At 44.6% G+C, this 14322-nt stretch overlaps 1 long non-coding RNA gene across 1 annotated transcript in view; it reads left to right on the plus strand.

Annotated features, from left to right (window-relative positions):
* Positions 1-14322, plus strand: part of FLJ12825 (uncharacterized LOC440101) — a 63981-nt gene that overhangs the window by 4414 nt on the left and 45245 nt on the right.

Consider the following 14322-nt stretch of genomic DNA (forward strand, 5'->3'; position numbering starts at 1 on the left):
TCCTCTTTCCCCCCACTCATACCCGTAGAATATATAGAGAGTGTTGTAAACCCAATTGAGGTAGACAGTCGCCTGTCTTTTCCCCTTTTTAGTCAATCCACTTGGGTCCAAGTTCAGATAATTCAGGCCCAAGGACTTTGAACTCTGCTTGGTTGACCTGTCTCTAGCAAAAACCCACTTTATATCTCCAGGGCACCAGACTGGAATAATCCCAAGGTCCTTGTCCTGGTGCCCACAGTTGAAAACTGGTAGAAAAGAGTAAACCTTCCTCATTCCCTTCCCTCCAGCTCCATCCTGAAATCCAGCCACTGCCTGGGATCCTGCCTCCTCTTCTATCCTGGAAGAGTAGCAGTTGGCCAAGAGCCCCAGATTCATGCTCCCAGTGGCTTTGCCACCCAGTTTCCATGATGTTGAGAGGCAAACTACCTACCTACCACTCCCTACTCTCTCTCTCTCTCTCTCTCTCACACACACACACACACACACACACACACACACACTGGTTGGGCAGACCTGGACCAGCCCAGGATGTTGTTCTTGTCTGGGGGAACCTTACCTAAGGAGGATACAGGAGGTAAGAGCCTGAATTTTGTGATAGCATCTTTGCTAATTAGTCGGGAGAGAAGACTGGATTGAATCCTTCTCTCCAGTCTATAATTTCACACAGACCTTTCTGTACACATTTACCTAGAGACATATCCTCAAAACATACGTGACACATACATTCAAGGATCTTAACATACTTATTTTTTATTTTTTCTGTTCACATGTGCATGGGTAGGTGACTTTGCTGAAAGTGATGGTGAGAGAGAGAGAGAGAGAGAGTGTGTGTGTGTGTGTGTGTGTGTGTGTGTGTAGAGGTGATGAATGACAGAGAATGACATCCCAACCAGCGCATCTATGAAGTGGGTTCTTTGACTTACCACTGATGTCACTGGTGCCGGAGGTTTTTGCTGTCCCCTTTTGCCCTTAAACTGCTCTAAAAGGCCTGCTTCTTTGCTGAGACCATGTGGTCTAAGGTCTCACTCTTGATCCCATAATTTGGCTCCTTAGGCCTGGGGTGGCTAAAAAGGAATGAGGCAAGAGTCAGAAGACTCTCTAGAAGATCAGATCTCTCACTTAATCTCTAGAAGATCAGATATCTCACTTAACCCTCTCACTTCTGTGTCAAGGTTAATCAAAACCACAAACATTTGTTTAACACTCCAATCTATCCTATTTTGCCCATAGGTAGGACCTAGAAAACAACCACTCCACAATAGCAGCAACTGCCAAATAACTATCTCCTAGGGTTGTTAATTGCCTTACAGTGGTATTAGAGGATTAAATGGATTAATGCATGATGAGCACTTAGATTCTTGCTTGGAATAGAATAAGCTTTCGGTGAGTGCAATCTGTTATTATTAGTAACATCATCAGGCATTTTCTTACGTGCTTGCTATATACCAGGCACTGGACTAGATTCATTGTCTCATTCAAGCCTTATAATAGCACTGTAAGGAAGTTATTATATTCCTATTTGACACAAAAGGAAGCTGAGTGAGCCTCGGGAGGATACGGATGTGTTCCACTGGCAGAGCCCAGACTCCAGTCAGATTTGCCTGGCCCCAGAGTGGGTGTTCTGAACCACTCCAATTCTTTGCTCATGATAGGCAAGGAGCACTGGTGAGAGTATGGGGGTCGTGTCAGCCGAGGGCAAGCAGGACCTAGATTAGCTTGGGCTTTGCTACCTTGCTTGATCTCACCTAGGCAGATTCTTGTTCTCATCAACACCAGGCTCCAACCCAGTGGTTCTCAAACTTTTTGGTCTCAGGACCCCTTTACACTTTTAAAAATTATTGGAGTTTCAGGCCAGGCACGGTGGCTCATGCCTGTAATCCCAGCAATTTGGGAGGCCGAAGAAGCGGGTGGATCACGAGGTCAAGAGATCGAGACCATCCTGGCCAACATGGTGAAACCCTGTCTCTACTAAAACTACAAAAAATTAACCAGGCGTGGTGGCAGGAGACTGTAATCCCAGCTACTTGGGAGGCTGAAGCAGGAGAATCGCTTGAACCCGGGAGGCGGAGGTTGCAATCAGCCGAGAGCACGCCATTGCACTCCAGCCTGGGCAAAAAGAGTGAAACTCCGTCTCAAAAAAAAAAAAAATTATTAGAGTTTCAAGGAGCTTTTGTTTATTTCCATGGGTTACACCTATCAATATCTACCTTATTAAAAATTAAAACTAAAAGCATTTTTAAATTGTTTAAAAAGTAATAAATATTATATGTTAAAATAACTTTTATGACAAAACTATATTTTCCCAAACAAAACAATTTAGTGTGAAGAATGTCATTATTTCACATTTTTGCATCTCTTTAATGTCTAGCTTAATAGAAGACAGATTCTCATATCTGTTTCTGCATGTAGTTTATTTTGATAAGCTGTTTTGATTGAAGTATCTGAAGTACATAGCCTCATATGCAGACATATAATCGAAGCAGGAAGGACCTGCAGAGCTCCTCAAAGGGTCTCTGGGACCCCCAGGGATCCTTAGACTACAGTTTAAGAACCACTGAGCTAACCAACTGTGATAACCAGCAGAAGCCACTATAATAATATTACTGGACACCCTTTTAGCTCTTTAGTGGTGCTTCTGACTACAAAACCCATCAACATTTCACTATTTCATGCTGTATTTGAATTGTGTTATCTTAGGTAAGTTACTCAATTTTTCTACCTCATAGATAGATAGAAGATAGATAGATATAGATAGACTTGCTATGTGTGTCATATGTGCATTATTCATTATTGTTTAGCTTGAATATATAGAGTAAAATATAAATTTATAGATAAAATAGCTTTCACATGTTTAGCATTGTTTGAGGTGGGCAGCTTGACTATTAATATCAATCTTTTCTTTTCAGAAGGGGAAACTGAGCCAAAGAGGGTTGATGTGACTTGCTGAGGATGACACAATCAGCAACTGGTGGGCAGTAGGGCAGAACTCCTGTCCTTTGACTCCTAGACCTATGCTCACCCTCTCAGAATCCCTCTCTATACAGACATGGCTGCAAAACATGCCTGTGGAGGGTGGATGTGTGCCAGGCACAAACCATTTATGAAGTATATATAATGTTTGCATTTATCTGAAGATATTTATATCTGAGAGAAAAAATATCTTGTATTCCTGCATGCAAAGTTACAGCTTTGCTTGGTACAAGGCATCAGCCTGCCAGTGTTTCTCCTTCCTCATCAAATTATCCATGTGTCTGTAGTTCTGGGCTGGATATATCCACTGTTAGGGATACTCCTTCCTTCCAGGTCTCCTGCTGGTACATTCCCACTGAGAGCAGGTAGATAGCCCAGCTTGTCACATGAGCACACAGAACAGGCACACCTGAGGGTAGCAGTCTCATCCCCTTCTTTTTCTTTTTCCTATACATCATTTCTAACATACCTTTTCAAAAATTAGTGGTCTACAGGTGTACAACCAAGGGAAGCATCGTTGTATGAGCTGAGGTGTAGATGTGTCTCTGCAGATGCAAATGCAGAACTTTGGGTGCCCATATACCTGTCTAGGTAAGCCCCGTGTAAATGTATGAGCAACTGGGGTCTCAATTCTTTCATTAATCTGATAGGTATTTATTCACAAATTCTATATTTTATGGCTGTATGAGGCTCATGTTTATGCAGGATCCTGTGAGAAAAAGCCTCGGTGGGAAGTCAGTCTGTCTGAATTCTAGCCAAGCTTTCTGCTCCTAGCTGCCTGAAGCAAATCATTTACCCAGTGAGAGCCTCCACTTCCTCATCCACATAATGGGGGGAAATAATGATAGTCTCAGCTACATCTCGGGATGAGGAGTCTGGTGGGGAAATAGTAGGAGATGTCTGAGTATGATTCTTTTTCTCTCTTTTCTTTCTGTCTTTCTTTCTTTCTCTCTTTCCTTTCTTTCTTTTCTCTCTCTCTCTCTTTCTTTCTTTCTTTTTTCTTTCCTTCTTTCTGTTTTTTTTTTAGATTTGGGGGTGGAGTCTCACTATATTGCCCAGGCTGGCCTTAAACTCCTGGGCTCAAGCAATCTTTTCTCCTCAGTCTCCTGAGTAGCTGGGACTACAGGCACTATGCCCAGCTTTAGGATTCTTTTCTTTTATGGAAAAGTCCAAACAAAATAGTAGAGAGAATAATATAATCAAACACTAGTAATATAATCATCATTTCACTTCAACAATGATCAGCCTACAGCCAGTCTAATTTCATCTATTCCCTACCCAACAGTACCTCTTACATTTTGGAGCAAATTCCAGACATAAAATTTCTTTTTTTTTTTTTTTTTTTTTTTTTTTGAGACGGAGTCTCGCTCTGTCGCCCAGGCTGGAGTGCAGTGGCGCGATCTCGGCTCACTGCAAGCTCCGCCTCCCGGGTTCACGCCATTCTCCTGCCTCAGCCTCCCGAGTAGCTGGGACTACAGGCACCCGCTACCACGCCCGGCTAATTTTTTGTATTTTTAGTAGAGACGGGGTTTCACCGTGTTAGCCAGGATGGTCTCGATCTCCTGACCTCGTGATCCGCCCGCCTCGGCCTCCCAAAGTGCTGGGATTACAGGCGTGAGCCACCGCGCCCGGCCAAAATTTCTTACGTAGTAAACATTTCAGTGAATACCTTTAAAAGTTAAAGTTTATTAATAACATAACCACAATATGATTATAATACCTACCTAAAATTTCTTAGCAAAACTCTTCAGATTTTTTTTTTTTTTTTTTTTTTTTTTGAGACGGAGTCTCACTCTGTCGCCCAGGCTGGAGTGCCGTGGGTTCAACCTATTCTCCTGCCTCAGCCTCCCTAGTTTTTAAAAAGTAAAAAAGATCTAAGAAATGTTAAGCGGAGGTCGGGCTCAGTGGCTCACGCCTGTAATCCTAGCACTTTGGGAGGCCGAGGCAGGTGGATCACGGATCACGAGGTCAGGAGATCCAGACCATCCTGGCTAACACGGTGAAACCCTGTCTCTACTAAAAATACAAAAAAATTAGCCGGCCATGGTGGCGGGCGCCTGTAGTCCCAGCTACTCAGGAGGCTGAGGCAGGAAAATGGCGTGAACCCAGGAGGCGGAGCTTGCAGTGAGCCAAGATCAGGCCACTGCACTCCAGACTGGGCGACAGAGCAAGACTCGGTCTCAAAAAAAGAAAAAAAAGAGAAAAAGAAATGTTAAGTGGCTAACTCCCCTCTGTCTCATGCTCAGGGCTGATGAATGTCAATAATAGAAAATGAGAATGGGGAGAAAAAGATGAACTTTCCTTTTTTATTTTTATCTTAAAATCCCAGGCCACCCCCAGCTCCTCCCCTCTACTCATTAGGTCCATTACAAATGGGCTGAGAGGGGACCCTGGAGGTCTAATGTGGTGGAGGCAGCCAGAAGGCATCCTCGGAAGACACTGCAGACCTCATATTGGATGAAAATCAGAGTGAACCAGAAGGAATCTGAGCTGAGGGCCTGCCAAGCCATTCTCCAGCATCAGATTTCTTCCTCGGCTCGCCAGGCATTTGAAAGATGTCTGAAGTCTCTTTGGAGTTACTGATCTCCAAAGACATGCAGATACATGTAATAGCATATAGAAACCCAAAAGGAGATTGCACAGAGACACAAGTAAACCCATCTGCCCATATACCAGCTATGTACAAACATATGCAAACACTCAGAGGCAGATGCAAATATACACATACAAATCAGCAAACTCAGGCATGCAGGAAAACAGAGATACAAACCCAAACACTCAAACATATATAAACATGCAGGGATACAAACATGCAGGTTCTGGAACCAAATAGAAAAGCCCAGAAGTGTGAAAATACACTTTGAGACATTTTTACTACTGACCAGTTAACATGGCCAAGCTCCAAGTCTGGCTGACTCTTTCCCTCACATACCATCAAATAGGCCAAATATTGACAAAACTACAACCTGAGTCACATTCACAAAAATGTGTACCTGGGATAAGTCATCCCAAGGCCTTTCCCCTGCCCTTGTCAGCACAAGTTCTCTATCATTAGTGCTTTGTCTCCCCAAAAGGCAGGAATAAGAGTGGTGTGGTGTGGTACCATGTATGTGTGTGCATGTATCCATATGAAGACACATTTCTTCATTCTGCCAAGTCAACTTGTCGAAAAGGGGAAAGAACACTAGCCATGCACAGACCTCAAGTCACTGCAGGCTGATGAGGGAACATTGCTTTGCTTACCCTGTGCTACAGCTGTAGGTTGAACTGATTTTTCCCCAAATCGATTGGCCCACATGGGTGTTTTGGCATCTTCTAGACATAACCTGGGGGTGCTTTCTCTGGGCCCGAGAGAGGCTGCGCCAATTGTCTGGGGTTGATTCTTCTGAGTGAACTTACCAATCAATTAAAAGAATAAAGGTGATGGAACTGGCTGGATCAGGTTGTTGGCTAGGCATTACATGGCCATGGAGTGATACTGAGTCAAAAAGGATGGGCAGAATCCAACAGTTTTAAAACAAGATCCATCAATAGATGGAGATAAACCAGTGGGGCTATTTAGCACTGTGCTCAGGAAAACCAGTCAACTGACTAAACTGTTCTCATTTCAACCAATTTTTGTGAGATGCAGCAGAAGCAACAGCATCTGAGAGTCAAGGGACCCAAGTGTGTTTGCATTGAAAGCTGGATCTACACTGGCATTTAGGGTAAGGGAAGGGTTGTGCAAATGACTGTAGATTCGGAAGGATAAAATGTGAGTATTTATCAGGAACTTAAAACTATTATCATTGGCAAGAAAGTAAAAGTTGTATAGTGAATTGAGGCTTTTTCTTTGTATGGAATCACAGAATGTTAGATATTGAAGGGACCTTAGAGTTCATGTGGAAACTGAGGCTTGGAGAGTTTTAAATGACTTGTCCAAGGTCACACAGCGAGTAAATGGCTGAGACACATTTAGACACCATATTAGTTTGCTTGGACTGCCATAACAAGAACCACAGCATGGACAGCTTAAACAACAGAAATTTATTTTCTCATAGTTCTGGAGGCTAGAAGTCCAAGATCAAGGTGTTAGCAGAGTTGGTTTCTTCTGAGGCCTCTCTCCTTGGCTTGTAGATGTCTGTTGTCTCCCTCTGCTTTGTCTGTGTCCTAATCTCTTTTTTTTTTTTTTTGAAATGGATTTTCACTCTTGTTGCCCTGGCTGGAGTGCAATGGCACGATCTCAGCTCACTGCAACCTCCACCTCCCAGGTTCAAGAGATTCTCCTGCCTCAGCCTCCCAAGTAGCTGAGATTACAGGCGCAAGCCACCATGCCTGGCTAATTTTTGTATTTTTAGTAGAGACACGGTTTCACCATGTTGGTCAGGCTGGTCTCGAACTCCTGACCTCAGGTGATCCGCCCACCTCGGCCTCCCAAAGTGCTGGGATTACAGGCATGAGCCATCGCACCTGGCCTGCTGATCTCTTCTTATAAGGACAGTAGTTATATTTAATTAGAGCCTACCCATATAATCTTGCCTTAACTTAATTACCTCTTTAAAGGGCCTATCTCCAAATACAGTCACATTCTGAGTTACTGAGGGTTAGGACTTCAAGAAATGGAACTTGCGGAGACACAATTCAGCCCTTAACTGACACCATGACTCTGGATTCCTAGTCCGCTGCCATTGTGCCCATGTCAGACTAAGTCATCTGGTGGATCCTATTCTTAAGTTGGCTCAATTTTGTTATGTTTCTTAGGGATGGGGAAGCTGTTTAGAGCCAACGTGAAATTGAAAACTGTTTCCTGGAGCCAAGGCCCATTGGGAAACTGAGTGAGCATGGGCTGGGGAATCCGGGATTAGGCTGACCACCAAACACTGGGAAATGGAAGTTTCTAACCAGAATCTTGGAACTGGAAAGAACTCAGTGAGGTTAACTTAGCCATCTCAGATGGAGGAGAACTTACCTGGTATGTTCAGAGAACACAACTGTCTGAGAGCTCTCATCACTGATATATTCTTTCTTATGTGTATTCAGATTCTTCAGGCCAAGCTCAAACCCCTATCCCTTGCCTCCAGTCCTCAGCGTTGGACAGTAAGATAAAACTCATCCAATAAGAGAGGTTTTCTCCCTTGAAGCTTGAAGAAGCCTTGACAAGATCTTAAGGAAATTTTTTTATTCAAGAGAGCCTCTTTCTCTCCTCATCTGAGGCTGGAGGTGGGGAATTTAGAGGCAAAAACTTCCCTTACCCCGTTGTTGTCTGTCCTAAGACCTTCAGCCCCTTATCTGGGCCCTGGCCAGCTCTAGAAAATGGATTAAGGTGAGTTGATATGTAATGTGGTACAGAAGCAGGGAGAGGGGAGAAGCCCTCTAATATCGCAGAGATCACAGATGGCTCCAGTGGGATTATGGGGCATGGTGTATGATGAGGCTTGTGCCAAAAAGTGGCCACAACCAGGAAGAAGGGTCCATCTTATTATGATGGTTGGTGACTCTCCCTGCCATGGAGAGCAAGCTTGGATTCTGGGGTTTGGAGGGAGCAACTCCAAAAATATCCAGCTGAAACACACAGAGCCAGAGTCAGCATGGTGCTGGGACTAGTACTGGTTCAGGGATCAGAACACCTGGGTTCTGATCTCTGTCTGAGCCTCAGTTTCTCTTCCTTCACAATGAAGTGGTTTGATTAGGTTATCACTAAGATCCTTCCAGCTCTGAGACTCTAAGCAAAAACTGAAGGATGCTGGGGGGCAGGGAGAAGGAATACTCTTTGTAGCAAATCAGATGATGGACTATGTGTCTCTGTGAACCAAACCAGGCACAGAAAACTCTCCATCTTCATTCCAGAGTTGGTGGGGGGTGGGGGAGTAGGGGGTGTTAGCTGTGGTGTCTCCTTATTTGACAACTCAACCTTTTCCACAGAGCCCCTGCAGACACACTATGGGGAGCTGTTTCCCTTAAGGACCCTGCCCCTGAGGGAAGAGAGGCAGAAACAAGATGGGGCAGGAAGTTGGAAAGGGTGTCTGCATGATGCCAATAGCCAGGTGAAAACAGAGAAATCAGCCCACTATCTGCTTAGTTTCAAATAGAATAAAGGGATCCAATTTTGTAGCTTTCATCTGATGTAATGGATAATGAGATGCAGGATCAGCCTTTTGCAGTGATTCAGTTTAAAGCCCCTGGGAAGGATCTGTTTCCCCCTCCCCAATTATCCTGCCACAAAAAAGCCTTAAGTTCCACCATTAAAGCACATGGTGTTAAGTACAGTCCTCTGCAGATCACATCCTTTAAAATACAAAAGCACCACTGGGATACTTCATCAAACAAGGATAGAATCAGAAAAGTAGTGCTTAGGGGGTATGCTTAGGGAGATGAGGGGCCCTGAAGATTAATCTCTAGATACTTCTCAGTTTCACATTGCCTGATCCTTGTGGGAAAGCTAGATTCTGCCTGAGGAAGTGGGAACTCAGGGACTCCCCTAGAAACCAGATGCCTGCAATTATGAGTATATTTCTAGTCCTGGGAAATGGGTGGACTCTAAGTGGTGAGGGTAGTTATCACACCAAAAAATCACAGAGGCTGCCAGTAAAACTTAAATCAGGGGGATGGAAATTCTGATAATATACGTGCATTTGGGTCAGCCACTATAGAAACCAGTGTAGAAGTACTTCATGGGGCCCCCTGTATGTCCAGAGGATATAAAACTATTCCAGAGGGGGAAAAATCCCTTCCATTTCTATGATTATCTACTGTATATCTAACCCATAAGGCATGGTTTGAAAGTATTAAAACCTAGCAGATAGGGAAACACACAGCCAGGGTTCAGATCTAGTGATGTGACCTTGGGTGGGTGACTTAACCTTTCTGAGAATAGATTTCCTCATCAAATTCAGTATAAAGCAACTGGCATATAGTAATCTTCTAGAAATGGAAACTATTATAGTTATGAGTACTGAGGGAGCTTCAGGACACTATTCATGAATTGGCACTAAGCCATGGAATGAATGGTCACCATAGTCAGAGCAAATCAGAGGTCCAGACCCTGATAAATTCATGCATAATCTTTTTCTTTTTTCTTTCTTTCTTTTTTTTTTTTTTTTTTTTGAGACGGAGTCTTGCTCTGTTGCCCAGGCTGGAGTGCAGTGGCACAATCTCGGCTCACTGCAAGCTCTGCCTCCTGGGTTCACACCATTCTCCTGCCTCAGTCTCCTGAGTACCTGGGACTACAGGCACCTGCCACCACGCCCAGTAAACTTTTTGTATTTTTAGTAGAAATGGGGTTTCACCGTGTTAGCCAGGATGGTCTTGATCTCCTGACTTCGTGATCCGCCTGCCTCAGCCTCCCAGCGTGCTGGGATTACAGGCATGAGCCACTGCGCCCGGCGCATAATCTTTTTCTTACCTGAGTGAATCTTGTTTTTTCCCAACTTAATCTTATCTTTCAGGATCTGCCAATAAAAGAAGCAGAAAGAGTCCTGTACCCCTCCATGCAGCCTGGAAATTTTAGGTTTGGGCCAAAGTTGGCCTTACCCACAGACAGGATGGGTGGCTGCCTTCATGACAGGATTTAAGAAAAATCATAAACCATCCTCACCCAAATTTGTATTATGCCACCTGCCACATGGGTCTAAAATTCCATTATTATAGATATTTCCCCCGATCTGGGCAGTGGCTTCTGAAGACCCCTACGAAAAACACACAGTTGCCTGGGAGAATGTGCATGTCAACACATTGGTGAAAGTTTCCTAACCTGCAATCTAGCTTCTTCTTCAATAAAGAAGAATGGTCTGGAACTCAGGACAAGTAAATTTTGATAGGACTGGGGTTCTTAAAGGGCCAGAGCACAGGCCTCTTCCTTTCAGGAGGTACACATAGAATGTATGGACAGCAGAAAGACACCAAATGGGCGTGGGACCTACTAAGAATGTCCACTGGGCCATCTGTGATTTAGGGAGCTGAGACAATGAGACAATTCTAACTTTCAGTTCACCTTGATATTGACTCTACCTAGGTCTTGTACCTTCCAGCACAGACTTGCATCCTCCCAAGAGCAATGATGTACTTGGGCAAGAGGTAGAGAGGCGATACTAGTGTCTGAGTAGTCTGAGCAGCGACATCCAGGTCTCAGTGACTGAGACCAAGCAGCTCTGTCTCTGACCAACACAATCATGACAGCAGCTAAAGGTCTCCACTCTGGGTTGGGGTCAAGGAAATGAGCAACTAAGAGTGTGCTCTGCAGATCACTGGGACTCTAGAGGGTCTTTTAGTTGGTCCAAAAGTCCACCCAGAATCCGTCGTCCAAACACACGTGACTGGTTTGTGTTTTGTTTTTTGTTTTGTTTTGTTTTTGAGATAGTCTTGCTCTGTCGCCCAGGCTAGAGTGCAGTGGCGCAATCTTGCCTCACTGCAACCTCTGCCTCCCAGGTTCAAGCAATTCTCCTGCCTCAGCCTCCCTAGTAGCTGGGATTACAGGCACCTGCCACCGCGCCCAGCTAATTTTTGTATTTTTAGTAGAAATGGGGTTTCACCATCTTGGCCAGGCTGGTGTCGAACTCCTGACATCATGATCCACCTGCCTCGGCCTCCCAAAGTGCTGGGATTACAGGCGTGAGCCACCACGCCTGGCCTGGTTTGTGTTTTAATTGTAATCTCTGAGGAGATATAAATATATATTTGAAAGAGCAAAGAAATTAATATTTGAAAAAGTATAACTATTGTCATGGTTATTTACTAAGGAAAAAATGTGTGTGTGAATATTGAATATGTATGTATGTGTGTAAACACACACACGTATTCTTCCCTCCCTCCCTCCTTTCCTTCCTTCCTTTCTTTCCATTGACAAAAGAGGCCAATGAGATATGCGACAACTGGCATCTCTGCAATCTGACCAGAACAGCCTGAAGGCCACCAGAGTGGATGTTACATCTGCAGGACTGGCCGCTTTCCTACCAATGTTTTTCAACTCGGATGTTTTGGCATCATGGCAGCACACATCCTCTCTCTAATCCAGTCTGCACCTAAACCCTGTGTAGGCAGTTTCTGCCGTAAAAAGAGCAGCCCGATAAGTGAGAACTTGGTTCCTCCTACATTACCCTAAATATTGCTGTGATATCAGGGAAATAATATTAATACTTACAACAACTACAACCAAGTTGTAGGGCCTCAACTACTCCCCTCCCCAAACTTTCCTCCTCTGAATTATGAGAAAACTTCTTTAAGAAGGTTGGAAGGCCGGGCGCGGTGGCTCACGCCTGTAGTCCCAGCACTTTGGGAGGCCAAGGCGGGCGGATCACGAGGTCAGGAGATCGAGACCATCCTGGCTAACACGATGAAACCCTGTCTTTACTAAAAATACAAAAAATTAGCCGGGCGTGGTGGCAGGTGCCTGTAGTCCCAGGTACTCAGGAGGCTGAGGCAGGAGAATGGCGTGAACCCGGGAGGCGGAGCTTGCAGTGAGCTGAGATCACACCACTGCACTCCAGCCTGGGCGACAGAGTGAGACTCCATCTCAGAAAAAAAAAAAAAAAAAAAAAAAAAAAAAAAAAAAAAAAAGCAGGTTGGAAGAACTGGGAATGAGAGAGGAGAATTGGGAATGGGGGAGAATGTGTTAAGCAGGTGTAAAACATAGGAAGAGGGTCTGTAAACGCTCCATCTCTGAGAGGGGGGCTTTGTGGACGGGAGGAGAAGGAACTAAAGGGTGGTAATTAGCTTATTATTGTTTCCCTTGGGTGTTGTGAGAATTCCTTAGGAGACACTTGTAAAAAAGCAGAGGGAAGACAGTAAATACACATCTAATGATATGCTAAATAAATTATTATTGTTATTATTATGACTATAATAGCAATTGTAACTTGCTTCCTGCTCGAATTTCCACTAAAGATGGGAACTGACCCCCTTACTGCCAGGCCTCCACAGCTGTCAATAACCCCCAGCCCCCGCCTCCCCAGGAATCAGTCGAGTAATTGGGCAATATAGACTAGGCTTCAGTTAACAGCCGTTCTTCTGGTGTCTGCAGGAGAACCAAACAGGAGCTCAACATAAGCAGCAAGGCCTCTGCCAGGTACCTGCTCTAGCAAAGAAAAGAAGAAAAGGAACCTTGCCGAGAATCGTGGGGGTTATATTTAGGGAATAACTTCTTGATTTCCAAGCAAGAGAACTCAGGGAGGGCAAAAACTGAGGCAGGCATTTAGGGAGGGGGCGGGTCACAGAAACAAAGGGGAAATATACAAATTAGGGATACTCAGTCTAGAGATCATAGGCTTCTAGGACTCCTGCAACTATCAAGGGCACTTCCAGAATTTTGCTAGGAAGTGAGCCAATTGTTTTTGTCAGCTTCTCAAAGGGGTCTGGGACCCAGGAACAGCTAAGAGCCATTCCAGCCCAGGTAAAAGGGACCCAGGACTCTTTGGGGTTAATAATAGTGGCCAGTGTCTATTGGTTTCCTGCCTTTTGGCTAAGGACAAACCAATAGACACTGGCCACTACTGTAACCTGCTGTTTACAGCAACTGTCAGCAATCCCCCCCTCAACCCCCCTACTTCTAGCCAGAGCCCAGGCACCTGCCTTGAGCCCTTCTTAGGCAAATATATGTAAATGTAGGACCCTCAGTTCTCCCTCCCTGAATTTCTTTAGGGAAAGCAACAACCATCCCTGTAAGCCATAGGTATTCATGGGGAGGAAGGAGAGGGCTAGTTGTCTGAGAGGGAAACTGCCAAAGGCTGCAGACTAGGAAATGGGATTCCAGGTTTAAGATAGCTCCTTTCTGGACCTCAGTCCTTCACCTAGTCACCTAGTCACAGGGTGGATTGTCTCTAAGGATACTTAGGGGAAAAGGAACCAAATTCGGGAGGGTCCTCCTTGCTTTAAGCCTTGATGGGAGAGGGGGAGGCCAACCCTTCTCTGCAGACTGGGATCCTCACCAGACAGAGGAGCTCCAAACCTGCCCATCTCATCCCATGCACCGACGGTGCCTGGCCTGGCTCCAAACTCCCAAAAGGAACTATTTTACAGGGACCAAAAAGGGGACACTGGTGATAATAATAATAAAAAAAAAAATGAAACAATCTGATTGCGGCATTACTGGATCAGAAAATGTGTGACCTTTTTAAAGTTAAATTGTTAAAAATTTTTAACTATTAAACATTTTAAATATTAAGCCTGATCTGTTTGGTAGCCCTGGAGCAGGGCTGAGGCATAGAGAGAAACCTTTCCTTCAGCCAGGTTGTCTGTCTCGCACTGATTTATTTTTGTTTTATTTGTGGATTTCTTAATGGACCCAATGGTGGTTCCTCTTTGCACCCCTCGGATTGACAGGCAATTCCTTCCTAGCCCAGGTCTCAGCTCTGGTTTAGTTTTCATAACTTGGGGGTCCAG

Source organism: Homo sapiens, chromosome 12, assembly GCF_000001405.40.
Source record: "Homo sapiens chromosome 12, GRCh38.p14 Primary Assembly".
NCBI lineage: Eukaryota > Metazoa > Chordata > Mammalia > Primates > Hominidae > Homo > Homo sapiens.